General features: G+C 34.1%; 1 long non-coding RNA gene and 1 pseudogene across 1 annotated transcript in view; one reads left to right on the top strand and one right to left on the bottom strand.

Annotated features, from left to right (window-relative positions):
• Positions 1-16,089, bottom strand: part of LINC02203 (long intergenic non-protein coding RNA 2203) — an 87,749-nt gene that overhangs the window by 31,795 nt on the left and 39,865 nt on the right. Inside the window, exon 4 of the long non-coding RNA NR_015416.2 lies at positions 13,027-13,121. This is a non-coding gene — a long non-coding RNA (long intergenic non-protein coding RNA 2203). The remainder of the gene's footprint in view (positions 1-13,026; positions 13,122-16,089) is intronic.
• OR11K1BP (olfactory receptor family 11 subfamily K member 1B pseudogene) lies at positions 12,201-13,043 on the top strand (annotated as a pseudogene).

Below are 16,089 nucleotides of genomic sequence, written 5' to 3'. Positions count from 1 at the left end.
GGAGTATCTAGATCGAATGCCTAGCTCCACCATTACCAATGGAGTACTCTCAGGCAAGGAAATAAACCTCTCTGAATTTTGTTCTTTGGTTATTCAATTTAATGCAGAGTTAATAATATCTCCCAAGATTGTTCTGAGAATCAAATGTAATGCCTATGTGCACCATAAAAAAAAACTAGATCTCTCAAGATGAGGAAATATCTTACTCATCTTTGTATCCACAACACAATATTTACTGCATAGCAGAAGCTCAATAATTTATCAAATCGAAGGAAGAATGTTTTGTAAACAACAAATTGCTATGTTGTACAAAGTTTAGTAGTTACTGTGAATAAATATATTAGGAAACAAATCATTTAGGAAGGATTGAAAAAGCTCATATTTTTTGTCTTTACTATCCCAGGTTACAGAAATTGGGAAGTTTGTAAAAATGAGGTAAGAAGAAACAGTCTCAATCTTTAAGATTTAGGGAAGCATCAGACTGGGGATGAGTAGGACAATGATTAAAAGACACCAATCACCAAGACAAGAGACCAAGAGCCATGACCCATATCGTGGAGGCATGCACAAAAGCCCACCATGACCCTTTTACAGGACAAAGTAATAAGAGAAACCAGAGTTGTGTTGCTTCTGGACTTTTCAACAACCATAGATACATAAGAAAATAAAAGATTTGCTAAGATATTGTTAGATATATTTTCCCCTGCTCTACACTCATATTCATCCCCAATGTTTGGTGACAGTACCTTGGATTACAAACAGAAAATCAGAGAATGTTGATACATTTCTTCCATTGCAGTAGTTAAAAATTAGTAGATGTCTCCCTGTCTAGAATTTTTTTTTATCTAGAACCAGCTATAGACAAAATATGAAATAAGACAAGATTTTATTTTGTGTTCCAAGCTTTGTAATCCATGTTGCACTTGGTTCTATCAAGTCATTCAGAGAATGTTATCCAATAAAATCCTTCATAATAGATATCAGGTATTTACATAGACAATGCAGAAAAGTACTTAAATTCTAAAAATGAAAACCTCTAATGACAAGAAAACTTTCTCTAGGGTATTATTCCAAGATAAGCCAGTGAGAGAGAGATTTGGGGCTCAAGTCACATTTGGACGCCTCTGTCACACCATGATTGTGACCATCCTCTTCATCTACCTATATAGCCAAGTGCACAGGTGCATCTAAATCTATAATCTCATAACTGATAGAAGGAATCACCTCACTTTCTAGAGTCAATTGGAAAATAAACCAAAGCAAGAAATACAAGTTAGGGAACGATTTGCTGTTATGTGTACAGCCCTACTTGAGCTCTGCTATATTGGAAATTCTCTAATCTTTTTTGGATGCACCAAGGATTGTAAAGTTCCATAAGAAAACATCATTTTGATGTTCTTTTCAGTTATCTAAAATGTATAATTAACAGGGGTCAAGTCTCATTAAAATTATGCATCTAATTTTTAAAATAATCTTGGGAAAACTGGAAAAGTCTGAGAAAGAGAAACCAAAGTTATTTTTTTAATTAAAAAAGGTTTCTAGAAGCCAGAAAACAATGGGAACACATAATCCTACACACTGTTATAATTTAGTCTCAGAATATGGCTGAGAAACAATGTGATTATTTCCTAATGTGAAGGGCATAGTATACCAAGGGTGTACGGTACACTTGTTATTTCCACTGAACATATGTTGGGAAAGAAAAGATTACATTAAAACAGACAATATTAAAATTAAATAAATCAGAAGGATAGATTAAATAAGAGAAGAATATGTAAAATATGTTATAACCCAAATTACTACAAACCATTTATAAGCCTGATTTTATGGCCTACTTGTTTAAAGTAAGATTTAATATTAGGAAATTTCAGCACTATAAATATTCTGAACAGTTCCTAGGTGATTACTGTGATAAGATTTTGATTAATAATGATATAAAAATCTTTACACTTGCATAAGTTAAAAATAGGCAGCCCTGTATGTTAGTTATTTGAGTTTTAATCAAGGTAAGGGCTGGATTCTGGTTATTCTTGGATTTTTTTTTTAATGACAGTAAATTTGCAATCTTCAGACAATATAAAACATAATACTAAACAATATAGAAAGCTCCCTTTTAGGTTTAATAACATTTCCACATTTGGTTGAGTCATCTCCCAGCTTCTGAAGTCTGATCACAGTAGGAAATTAAGCCTGTCACTGTTCTGCAAAGAATAAAAAGAACAATACACCCAACAACATGAATGAATGTCTACATCCCAAAACTAACCCCAGTCACAATATAATTTCCCTTGCCAAAGCCCTGCAGAGCTTGGAAAGCCACATTCAAAAATACCAGCTCCATTATCCCATTAGCAGTAAGATCAGACCCTACCAAGCATTTCATGTTTCATATCCTAAAAATAACCTAAGAATGTGAAAAAGTCAATAAAAATATTTTTAAGTACACAAAATGAGCCAAAAAAATTGAGAATGCTTAATGCAAAATGAAAGTCTTTATGGAAGGGTCCTGCTTAGAGAGAAGAGGACAAACTAAAGCACCTTAAATAATCAAAGGCTACTTGTGTACAGCTGAGCAGCTGGTCTCTCGTCTTTCTAAACAAGGAACCAGAGATGTTTATGAGGAAAATATGAAGAAAAGGAGTAAAATTTTTCTCCTGGTAACTTGTGCATGTGTGTGTTTTAAGCATAACAGTATACCATATTTTGCTATTATGTTTGTCTTGTATTTATTTTGGTCTGTGTGGAGCTAAATGCATTATTAGAGGAGGAAATTTGACTATCTCAACAATAGAAAATAATTGGCTAGCTGGAGTTTCAATTCCATATGAATTCCTTTTAGACGCATTTGATGCATTTTTAAATTTCTCCTGAAAACCAAGAAGTGGACACCATTAGTTGAAGATGGTACCTATAGTGGTATTCTCTATTGAGAAAGAAACAATCTTTCTGTTCTAAACTTCTTTGGCCTTGTTTGAAACATTGCATTCTATATTGTACCTGTGGAACGTAAAGAAGATTTTAGTAAAAAGAAACTTTAATAATTAAAGAAATGGAAAACAGAATCTAGAAGGGACTATAACAGAATTAGGTAGTCTTAAGACAATATTGCCATGAAACCTGTGCCTTCAGTTATGTAAATTTGGTCCTATCGTATCCAAATATTGCAACTGTCTTCTAAGATGCCACTAGCCCTAGAATTCCTTGATGCTATAGGAATTTCACTGTTCTGTGAATGTTTCTAAGTGTAAATTTAAAACAACAAAACTCAAATGATCTCTTAAATTTAAAAATGATCAATGCCAGAGTATATAGAGAAAAAGAGTGAGGACAACAGTAAACATAAAAATAGCATCAGAGTCAGACAGAGGAGCAGGAAGGGGAGGGGAGCTTTGAGTAAATATATCTGAGAAACCTACATCTTTGCTTGTCAGAAGCTATGTGGTTTCAAGGAAGGAAGATGTTATCCTGCCATTCATCCTACCAACCCTCTCTTCAGCCTCAGGCCAGCAAAATGGACAATCCTCAGGTGACCATCACAGCTGCCCAGCACATGTCTTAATTGCTTCCTTATAAGCCAAGCCCTAGTTGACGGCTGGCTGTATGAACTGGAAATATCTCCTATCCCTAGGACTCTAGCTGTATCTGAGGTTGCTATGGTTCTTACAACACTACTTAGCTTAATGAGCCCTGGGATTCCCTAGGCTGCTGCTGTTTGAGTTCTGTTAAATTTAGTTCTTGCTAGGAAGTTGACCTTGGGACCTGCAGGCTCTGAAGCAATTAGACCTGTTGCATAACAGAACCCACTTATTTTACTTACTTTGGATTGATTTATTTGTAATTTGTCATTGATTTGTTTGTATATGCCATCCATTTTCAATGCCTCAGTCTGTATCTGAAGAAGATTCTCACTGGTTTTTATCTCAATCATGCTCCTTGAAGTAGCAGAAGCTGAAGGATAAATACCAACCTAAGGTATTTATCTCTGAGATAATTCCAGGGATAGCTTGGTATTTATCCTTTAAGGTAATATAGAGTGTCTTGATACAACACCTGATTTCTTGAAACCTCAAGCAGCTTACCTACTGGCATTTATTCATAGATCGTATCCAGAAAACACAGCTGTTGTCATTAGTAATTTAATTTTTTATAGACTGTCAGTCTAATTTTTAAATATCATAAAACATAATTCTCAAACAAATACATAATGAACACATCAAAAACTGTATTTAATTAATGAGGGATAGCAGGATAACAAAGTCCGTTCCAAAAAGAATATGAAAAGTGTGATTTTACATAATCACAGCAAAAAAATGAACACTAAAATAAAATTGTTAAATTTGATGTAATCCAGTTAATGTCTCATGACACAGATTTACCTATATAACAAACCTGCACGTGTACCTCTGAACTTAAAAGTTAAAAATATCAACATAACAAAAATATTCATATTTTTTCATACAGCTCTAAAAAGGGGCAATACGACCTTAATCTTTGGGATTATCTTTTCTACCACACTAAAAAGATACAATGTAGCAGTTTTCTATAACATCTAGCTATATGTAATTATACAATGTCTGAGATTCCATAATTCATATATAGTAAGTTAAACAAAATCACATTTGCTAGAGAGTCAGATGACCCTTAGCTGGGCTTGCTAAACAATGTTTTTTGTTTTGTTATTTTTTATTTCTGTGGGTACAGAGTAGGTGTATACATTTATAGAGTATGAGATATTTGGGTACAGGCATACAATACATAATAATCGCATCATGGTAAATGGGGTATTCGTCCCCTCAAGCATTTATCCTTTGTGTTACAAACAATCCAATTATATTCTTTTGGTTATTTTTAAATGACAATTGAATCATTATTGACTATATTCACCCTGTTGTGCTATCAAATACTAAATATTATTTATTCTTTATATCTTTTTGTACCCATAACTATCCCCATTTTTCCACATCCCACACCTCCACCATCCTTCTCAGTTTTTGGTAACCATCATTCTACTCTTTATCTGCATGATTCGATCGTTTTAATTTTCAGTTCCCACAAGTAAGTGAGAATATGGGAAGTTTGTCTATCTGTGCCTAGCTTATTTCACTTAACACAATAATCCCCATTTCCGTCCATGTTGTTGCAAATGATCTGATTTTTTTTTATGGCTGAATAGTACTCTATTGTATATGTATGTGCCACATTTTCATTATTCATTCATCTATTGATGGAAACTTAGGTTGTTTCCAAATCTTGGCTATTGTGAACAAAGCTAAAACAAACATGAGAATGCAGATAACTCTTTGTTATACTGCTATTTTTTCTTTCGGGTCTACATCTAGCAATGAGGTTGCAAGATCGTAAAGTAGCTCTACATTTAGTTTTTGGGGGAATCTCCAAACTGTTTTCCATAGTGGTTGTACTAATTCACATTCCCACTGACAGAGTATGAGAGTTCCCTTTTCTCCTCTTCCTCACCAGCATTTGCTATTGCCTGTGTTTGGATAAAAGCCATTTTAAATGGGGTGAGATGATACCTCATTGTAGCTTTGAGGAACATTTCTCTGATGATCAATGGTGTTTGAGCACCTTTTTATGTATCTGTTTGCTATTTGTATTGTCTTTTGAGAAATCTCTATTCAGATCCTTTGCCCATTTTTAAATTAGATTATTAGGGTTTTTTCCTATAGAGTTGTTTCCTGGTTATTAATCCCTTGTCAGATGGGCAGTTTGCAAATATTTTCTCCCATTCTGTGGGTTTGATCTTCACATTGATTGTTTTTCCTTGGATGTGCAGCAGCTTTTTAACTGGATGTGATCCCACTTGTCCGTTTTTGCTTTGGTGACCTGTGTTTGTGGAGTGTTGCTCAAGAAATCTTTACCCAGACCAATATCTAAGAGAGTTTCCCCCAATGTTTCCTTTTAGTAGTTTAATTTTTTGAGGTCTTAGATTTAAGCCTTTAATACATTTTAATTTGATTTTTGTATATGCCAAGAGATAGGGGTCTTGTTTCATTCTTCTGCATATGGATATCCAGTTTTCCCAGCACCATTTATTGAAGAGACTGTTCTTTCCCCAATGTATGTTCTTGGCACTTTTGTAGAAAATGAGCTCACTGTTGATGTACGGATTTGCTTCTGGGTTCTCTATTCTGTTCCATTGACCTATGGGTCTGTTTTTTATGCCAGTACCATGTTGTTTTGGTTACCATAGCTTTATAGTGTAGTTTAAAGTCAGGTAATGTGATTTATCCAGTTTTGGTTTATTTGTTCAGGATAGCTCTGGGTATTCTGGGTCATTTGGTTATATCAATTTTAGGATTGTTTTTTCTATTTCTGTGAAGAATGGCATTGGTATTTTGATAGAGATTGAATCTGTAGATTGCTTTTGGTAGTATAACATTTTAACAATGACTGTTTCAGCTAATGAACATGGAATATCTTTCCGTTTCTTTGTGTCTTCTTTAGTTTCTTTCGTCAATGTTTTATAGTTTTCATTGTAGTGATTTTCACTTTTTTGGTTAATTCCTAGGTATTTAATTTTATTTGTAGCTATTGTAAATGGGATTACTTTCTTGATTTGTTTTTCAGACAGTTCACTGTTGACATATGGAGATGCTACTGACTTTTATATGTTGATTTTGTATCCTGCAACTTTACTAAATTTGTTTATCAGTTCTAATAGTGTTTTGGTGGAGTTTTTAGGTCTTTCCTAATACAAGATCACATCATCTGCAAACAAGGATAATTTGACTTCTTCCTTTCCAATTTGGATGCCTTTTATTTCTTTCTCTTGTCTGACTGCTTTAGCTAGGACTTCTAGTACTATAGTCAATGAAGTGGTAAAAGTTGGCATTCTTGTTGTGCTCCAGATATTAAAGGCTTTCAGTTTCTTTCCATTCAGCAAAATTCTATCTGTGGGTCTGTCATATATGGCTTTTATTATGTTGCAGTTTGTTCCTTCTATACCCAGTTTTTTAGAATTTTTATGATGAATGGATGTTGAACTTTATCAAATTTTTCAGCATCAGTTGAAATGATCATATGCTTATTCTCCTTCATACTGTTTATTGTTTATCATATTGATTGATTTGCACATATTGAACCATTCTTGCATCCCTGGGATAAATCCTACTGTGGGAGCTAAAAATTAAAACAATTGAACTCATGGAGATATAGAGTAGAAGGAAAGTTATCAGAAACTGAGAAAGATAGTGGTTAGGGGGATGGGAGGGCAGGTAGGGATGGTTAATGGGCACAAAAAGTAGTTAGAAAGAATGAATAAAATCTAGTATTTAATAGTACAAGAGGATGACTATTGTGTATTATAATTTAATTGTACATTTTAAAGTAACTAAAAGAGTGTAATTGAATTGTTTGTAACCCAAAGGATAAAAATGCTTGAGGGGAATGGATACCCCATTTACCATTATGTGATTATTATGCATTACATGCCTGTATCTAAGTATCTCATGTACTCAATAAATATATGCACCTACCACATACATACCAAAGTTTAAAGTAAACTAAAAAAAAAGAAAAAGCCAGGCACGGTGGCTCACACCTGTAATCCCAGCACTTTGGGAGGCCAAGGCAGGTGGATCAACTGAGGTCAGGAGTTCAAGATCAGCCTGGCCAACATGATAAAACCCCATCTCTACTAAAAATACAAAAAAAAAATAGCTGGGCATGGTGGTGGGCACCTGTAATCCCAGCCACTCGGGAGGCTGAGGCAGAAGAATCACTTGAACCCAGGAGGTGGAGGTTGCAATGAGCTGAGATGGCACCATTGCACTCCAGCTTGAGCAACAAGAGCGAAACTCTGTCAGAAAGAAAGAAGAAAGAAAGAGAGAGAGAGAGAAAGAGAGAAAGAAAGAAAGAAAGAAAGAAAGAAAGACAGAGAAAGAAAGAAAGAAAGAAAGAGAAAGAAAGAAAAGAAGGGAAGGGAAGGGAAGGGAAGGAAAAGAGAGAGAGAAAGAAAGAAAGAAAGAAAGAAAGAGAGAGAGAGAAAGAAAGAAAAGAAGAGAAGGGAAGGGAAGGGAAGGAAAAGAGAGAGAGAAAGAAAGTAAGTAAAAAGAAAGGAAGGAAGGAAGGAAAGAAAAAAAAAGAAAAGAAAGAAAGAAAGAAAAGAAAAAGAAAGAAAGAAAAAAGAAAAGAAAGAAAATAAATTACAAGGCAATAACATGATCTTAGATGCAAAAATTCTCAACAAAATACTAGCAAACTGAATCCAATAACACATTAAAAAGACAGTTCACCACGCCCAAGTGGGTTTTATTCCAGGAATTCAAGGGTTATTCAGTATAAATGAATCAAAAAGTTTGATACATTACACTGATAGAATAAAAGACAAAAAGTGTATGATCATTTCAATAGATACAAAAACAGCATCTGATAAAATTTATCATTGCTTCATGATAAAAATTAAACAAATTTAGGCATAGAAGGAGCATACCTCAACATAATAAAGGCCATATATCAGAAACTCACAGTGAAAATCATACTGACGTAGGACAAACAGAAAATCCTTCTTCTAAGAACTGAAAAACGACAAGGATTCTCACTTTCACAACACCTATTTCATATAGTATTGGAAGTTTTGGCCAGAGTATCAGCAAGAGAAAGAAATAAAACGCATTCAAATTGGAAAAGAAGTCAAATTGTTTCTCATGGCAGATGACATGATCTTATATAGAGAAAAACATAAAAACGTTATCAAGACAACTCTTAGAAGTGATAAGTGAATTCAGTAACGTTGCAGAATACAAAATCAGCATACAAAAATCAGCAGCACTTTTATGTGGTAATAATCAACTGTCTGAAAAGAATTCAAGATAACAATCTTATTTACAATAGCTCCAAAATAAAAAAATATAATTCTTAGGAATTAATTTAACCAAGGATGTGAAAGATACCTATAATGAAGCCATAAAACACTTATGAAAAAAATTTGAAGACAGAAATAAATGGAAAGATAATCCTGCATTTGTGGATTCAAATAATTAATATTGTTAAAATGTTCACACTACCCAAAACAAGCTATGGATTTATCAAAATAACAATGACATCCTTCAGAGAAATAGAAAAAACAATCCTAAAATACGTATGGAATCTACAAAAGACCTGGAATAGCCAAAGCAGTCTTGACCCAAAAGAACAAAGTTGGAGGCATCATACTACCTGACCTCAAAGTATACTGTAAAGCTATAGTAACCAAAACAGCATGATACTGGCATAAAATCAGATGCATAAACCAATGGAATAGAATACAGAGCCCAGAAATAAATCCACAGGTGATACACAGTCACCTAATATTTTGACGAAGCTGCCAAGCACACACAATGGGGAAAGGACAGTCTTTTCAATAAATGGTATTCGGAAAACTGGGTATCTATATGCAGAAGAACGAACTTATACCCTTACTTCATACCATATACAAAAAATCAACAAAAAATAGTTTAAACACTAAAACATGAGACCTAAAGCTGTAAAACTACACAACATTGATGTAGGCAAAAGCTAAGGCAAGAAAAACAAAAATAGACAAATGAGGTTACATCAAAATAAAAAGCTTCTGCTCAAAAGAAACAACAGAACCAAAAAATGACCTACAGAATAAGAGAAAATTTTTGCAAATTATACATCTGATAAGGGGTTAATATTCAAAATATATAAGGAACTCAAGCAACTCAATAGCAAAAAACACTACCACCAAATAATTCAATTTAAAAGTGGGCAAAAAACCTGACTAGATATTTTTTAAAATATGACGTGCAAATGACCAAAAAGCATATGAAAAAATCCTCAGCATCACTGATCATCAGGTAAATGCAGATCAAAACCACAATGAGATAGCACCTCAGCCCAGTCAGAATGTTCATGATCAGACAAAAGATGGTAATAGTCAGTAAGAATGCAGAGAAAAGGGAACGTTTATACACTGTTGGTGGTAATGTAAATTTGTATAGTCATTATGAAAAACAATATGGAGGTTCCTCAAAAAATTAAAAATATATAGAGTATATGTTTGAGTATCCAGTAGGCATTCAGTAAATATCTGTGGAATAACTAAATGTCAATCAAATTTCTTGTGCTCTACATAAAATTCAACTCAAATATCTCTAATAACTCTGCAGGTACAAATATTTGATGACCAGAGAATGATTTTTCTTCAAAATAGATCTAGAGAGTATTATGGTAAAGCTAACCACTGTAGCTAAAATGACAATCCCTTTTACTACTTAATTATTCCTCAGGAAGTTTTGACAATACATGAACACGAAAGAAGAAAGAAAATATAAGATCTGCTTCTACATTTTCACTATTCTTTAGGGGACAGTAAGAACTGGCTTTTGATTGTGAAAATTCAAAATGTTATCCTCTTTTAAACAAACACTATCAAAATATCCCAAGAGAGACAGAGCTCCAAGTCCCAAAAGGCTATAGTGCAAGTAAATAGATATATATAATACACTCACTTGAGCTTGCATTTTGACCATTAATATATGCTTTGAAGGTGGGGAAAATCTTTTAGGGTTTACTTTTTGCAACCCATGAGAGATAACAAACAGGATCATGCAATTTCTTGGAAGTTCTTCACATGTCTTTGGCTCTGGGGAATAATATTTTGTCTCCTGTCCCTGACCTTCTCAGCATTCACTCAAAGAGCGAATGGGAAGTATATAACATGTGAGTCACCCAGTTTTTTTTGCAAAAATCATAGAAAATGTTTTCTTCTTGTCTTTGAGAAAACTAAAAATATATCTCAGAATGAAAAGCTGGCAAAGAATGAAGCTGAAAAATATAAGTTTTTCTTCTTGTTTCCCTGAAATCTGGAAAATATTTTCCAATTATGGTTCATATCCCTTTAAAATATGAATAGCCATATATACAAAAAGAATAGTATTTCAAGTGAAGATGTATATTAACTGATGAATTGCTGGAGAAGGGTATATTTTGGCAATTTTTGTTACTTGGTGAGCAGAAGAAATATGGCATATTTCTCTTTCCAGCAATATTTTCTTTCTTAAGCCCAAATACTGATTTTTCAGTTCCATTACATTAATAAGACTTGGTATTATACAAATTAGTTATTATTTAAGAAACAAAAATCTTCAGCTCATATGACTTTTTCTTGTTTTTGTTGTTATTTGGGCTAGAAGTTAACCGGAGGGTAATCAGGGGAAAAGTTTTATGTTTCGGATTTGCCTAGATAGGAAAGGCCTCAGAAAACAACCACAGTGAGATGCAAAATAACACCAAAGGTCAAAGGAAGAAAAGGAACATGTGGAAGAAAGCAGTGAATAAAAAACATGGAAACTTTTGTAATATAAACTTTATCTGCCTTTCTTATTTTCCTGCAGCTGACTTGACCATGGTTAACAAAAAACAAGCACATTGAACTTGGCCACAGTCACGCAGACCAGCTGTTCTCCCTAAGGTCAATGTCATAATAGGCATATGAAGTTCTTACATTCACCTGGAAGCATATAAAAATATTTAGTCAGAGCAATTTAAGAGCCAAAGTATGGCACACTTCCTCACAGCATATAGCGTATCCAGCTGCCTAAAAATGAAAGAATGTATTTTTTATGCTAAACATTGGTACAGATACATGAAACAGCATAAAAGACCATATATTCTCTAATGACAGAATTCTTTCTTATTACCACTTTAAAACACTACAAGTAACAGGGAGTAGCTGAAATTGAAAGTAAATATTAATTTGTGCCCTGGCATGGCACTATATTGAGAAAGAGTATTTTTAAATATCTTGGTTTTGTATTTTATTTTTATACCACTAATAATAATGAATCAGGTATTCATAGTACTGTTGAAAGAACTACATACCCAGATAAATACAGTATCAATAATGCAGGTAAACAGAAGAAAGAGTAGACCCATTGTATATAGGTAATTTATTGGAATCACAAAATTTGCATTCCTGGTTTCAAGTCTAGTGTTCTTAGCAAGAAAAAAAACTCTCCACAATTCATATTTTCCCTTCTATTGTTGTGATTTATTAAAATAAACATGTGTAGGAATTGAGTCATGAAAGTCACAGTTTTGTTGTTTAAACAAAAGTCTAATTGTTTACTACTTTATAATATACATGATGAAGAATTTTGGTTGTTTCCAAGAAGAAACAGCACGCTCCCTTTCATGTTTCAGTTACCTCTGCCATCTCCATGTCTTCCAGACTAATGAATGTGTTCAGCATGGAAACTATCAATTTTGTTAGCTGCCTTATCCTCATGGGCTTTCCCTCAAGCCCAGAAATGCAGCTCCTCTACTTCGGTCTCTTCTCAGTAGCCTATACTCTCACCCCGATGGGAAATGCAGCCATTGTCTGTGCTGTGTGGTAGGACCAGCACCTTCACACTCCCATGTACACCCTCTTGGGAAATTTCTCTCTCCTGGAAATATGTTATGTTACTGCAACTAAACTGCTGGCCAACTTCCTCTCCACAAGCAAGTCCATCTCATTCATGAGTTGTTTTGCAGAGTTCTACTTCTTTTCTTTGGGGTATGATGAGGGCTTCTTCCTTTGCATCACGGCCTTTGACAGGTATCTTGCCATCTGCCGCCCTCTACGTTATCCATGCATCATGACTAAACAAGTATGCACTGGCCTCATCATTTTTGCATGGTCATGTGTCTTTGTAATCTTCCTAACTCTGGTGATTCTCATTTCACAGCTATCCTACTGTGGCCCAAATATTATCAACCATTTTATTTGTGATCCCGTCCCATTGAAGATGCTGTCCTGTTCTGAAGACATCATCATCACCCAGCTCATTTACTCCACATTCAATTCTGTCTTCATAATTGGCACCTTTCTCTTTATCCTTTGTTCCTATGCTCTGGTGATTCTGGCTATAATACGGATGCCTTCAGAGGCTGGCAAACGAAAAGCTTTCTCCACTTGTGCCTCTCATTTGGCAGTTGTCACCTTATTTTATGGCTCTATCATGGTGATGTATGTTAGTCCTGGATCAGCACACCCAGTAAAAATGAAAAAATCATTACCTTGTTCTATTCTGTGATAACACCACTCTGTAATCCTCTAATATATAGTCTCAGGAACAAAGAGATGAAAGATTATCTGAGGAAAATCTTCAGGACTGGAAAAGATGTTAATAAAATATAAATAAGAGAATTTTCATTTATCAAATTAACTTTATTATACATGAATATTTGTCTACAAATTTATTGTTTTATTTAAGAACTGCTATAATAATGAGCCATTAACATCTTAAACACCACTCACCACAATCTGCATTACTGTGGTCTTATTTAAGAATGTTTCAACAGTGAATTAGATTTTCTGTTGAAGTGAATAATACGTATGTAAAATTCTATGTCTATGCTAATCAGAACGTGTATATGTAACTCAACTTTTTAAAAAGAATGCAGACGTCCTTTTTGTATTACTGAGCTAAAGCAATTGGTAACACATGTGACAGATATCATAGACTGCTCTCACAATTAACACTATAATCCAATCATTATCCACTAAGAGATACTGGCTGAAAAAGAGCCAAGTTTTAAGTAGTCCAGCTTGTCAAAATGTAGCAAGTGGTCTTTACATTATATAAATAGACTAATAGCCTTAGTTTGATATTCAGTGTTTTTTCAGAGAGTACACAACCAAGAATTAGGAATTTAAAGCAGATTCGTTACCTGGAATATAGTGCAGCAAAGACCTAAACAAAAAGGTGAGCATTACTCAGGATATAGCTTTCTTTGTTGTAAACCCAGTTTAAACACAGGATTTGATACCATAACTAATTTAGTATTAATACTGTGTGACTTATTTGAGTACTGCTGGACAGTACTAAAATAAAACTCTTAAAATCCATTTTATAAAATATTTGACTAATATCTTGCTTTAATTTTGACTTTTGTTTCGTTCTATGCCATTTTTTCAAATACAACTCTCAAAAACTTAATGAAAAGGAATCACAATATGAAATGTAGTTTACAGAATTTTAATTTGTAAGCCATCATAGCTATTTGCTCCACAAAATGAGGTGCAACTGCAATTAGTTTTTGTGTCACAAGGAAGCTGAGTTGAGAATATTTTCTGGGTTTGAAAGGCAGGATTTATGAGAGTTCTGGGGAAAAGAGTGGTTGTTTTATTATACCTCACATGTGAAATGTAAATTAAATAGCTAAATACTTGCCTGAAAACCTCTTTTATATAGGAAGAAAATACAAACAATTTAGAACTTCATTCAAACTGACTTCAACGGTGGGATCTCTTTAAAGTGCTGATAAATTTAACACTGAGTTTCACCTGTCCATGCCAGTTTTGTTTATATTTCTTAATTATATGAGAAAAAATGATAGAAATTCTTAATAAAATATAATCTCAACTGTTATAAATGTGCACAGTGCCCATATTTGTAATTATCTTCAAATTGATCATTAACCAATCTTATCTTACCAATATTAAATTCTATCTCATATTGAGCTTGCTGGCACTTGATAGAATGAATTGAAAACTATTAGATACAGTAAAAAGCATTTCCATAAGATACAAACATGCCTTCATTGTGACAATATCTCTTCCTCAGTTCATACCTATGGCTTCATGGTATTTCACACAACCAGCTAATAAATGAAGAAAGAGCCTCAGGCTTGGATCACAAATGGATTGTCTGAATCTACACTTAGACAAGATAAAAACTGACTAATGCTGCAGCTTAACGCCTCTCCAGGGTAGCCATAGAATGTAGTGGTGGAGGAAATCCTCGTAAGCCAGTGATTCGGTAGCAATATACTTAGTTGTCCACTTTGAATGTTGGGAGAAATAGCTTGCTATGCAAGATAAGGATATGTGTAGTATAATGATTGTTGTAAAAAAGTTTCACTAAGCAAACCCCCTCAAAATACAGAAAAATCAGATTTAATGAAATTTGAGGTGGAGGCCTATGTATGGGCCTATGAGAATAAGCACAAAGTATGCAGATCTTTGTTTCTCAACTCTGTGCCCATTAGAGAGTATCCTCCAGAGTGGAGGCACTCAATAGCTAAGTGAAAAGAATGAGTCATCTAAAAATGTCAGTCAGCTCTGATTTCATTCACCTCAGAGCTTATAAAAGGGAATATAAAGAAAGCTGTATAAATGGAAAATATGCACGTGCCAAAAAATACAGGCATTATCTTACCAAGGTTGGTGACAAATCACTGAGCCACTGAAGATGCAGCCTCGATGAGAAACCAATGTTAAGCCCTCAATATGGCACCAATCTTTGAGAAAACCAGCCAGCAATGGGTGGCAAATTGATTACATCAAATTCCTTTTACTTTGGAGGGTGCCAAGTGACATGAAAGAGTATAGTCAACCTCTACTTCTACATTTCATATTCACTCCCCAACCCCCTGTGATCTTGCTTTCTATCTCCTCTGCTCAACTAAAACTTCTTTTCATCATGTTTCTGTAGAGGATTAACAATAATCATCATATGGGTATTTTATCTTAGGTACAAGAAAGTATAGTAACTCAAATAGATTTTCCAATCTACCATTATTTTCATTAGTCAACATTATCTTAGCCAGAGAAGATGTGAACTCTACATTTTGTAATTCTACATTGTTTGAGTTTGAAAACCTTTGCTATAGCCTGGGAATAAGTTGTTTTTGGATCAGTTGCAGCCTCTTATGAACAAGATTAAAGATGAAAAAGTTGAAAAATGTGTATTACCCTATAATTGCAACTCAAAATCTAGCTTATTTTTCATGTTTCACATGAAAACAGATGTTTAACCTAGTAGTTCTCAACTTTAATATCCATATCAATCACCATCACGTATGGATCTTTTCAAAATGCAGATTCTCTGTGACATCAGGAAGATTGAAGAATAGGACGTCCCAGTTTTCCCTACCCTTCATAGAATGTTCAATTAACAACTGTACACAGACAAAAACTCCTATGTGAACACTTCAAAACTCAAGATTAAGCCTGAGAAACCTGTGTGAACTAAATAACCAAACAAAATGCCACATGAGAAGTGTAAAAAGAATAGCCTCACTCTGACCACATCACCTCTCCCTTTCTCCCAAGTCAGCACAACACCACTTAGAATT

The sequence above is a fragment of the Homo sapiens genome, chromosome 15, assembly GCF_000001405.40.
Source record: "Homo sapiens chromosome 15, GRCh38.p14 Primary Assembly".
NCBI lineage: Eukaryota > Metazoa > Chordata > Mammalia > Primates > Hominidae > Homo > Homo sapiens.
Note: the sequence above shows the minus strand (reverse complement) of the source record. Positions and strands in the feature narration are given on the sequence as shown.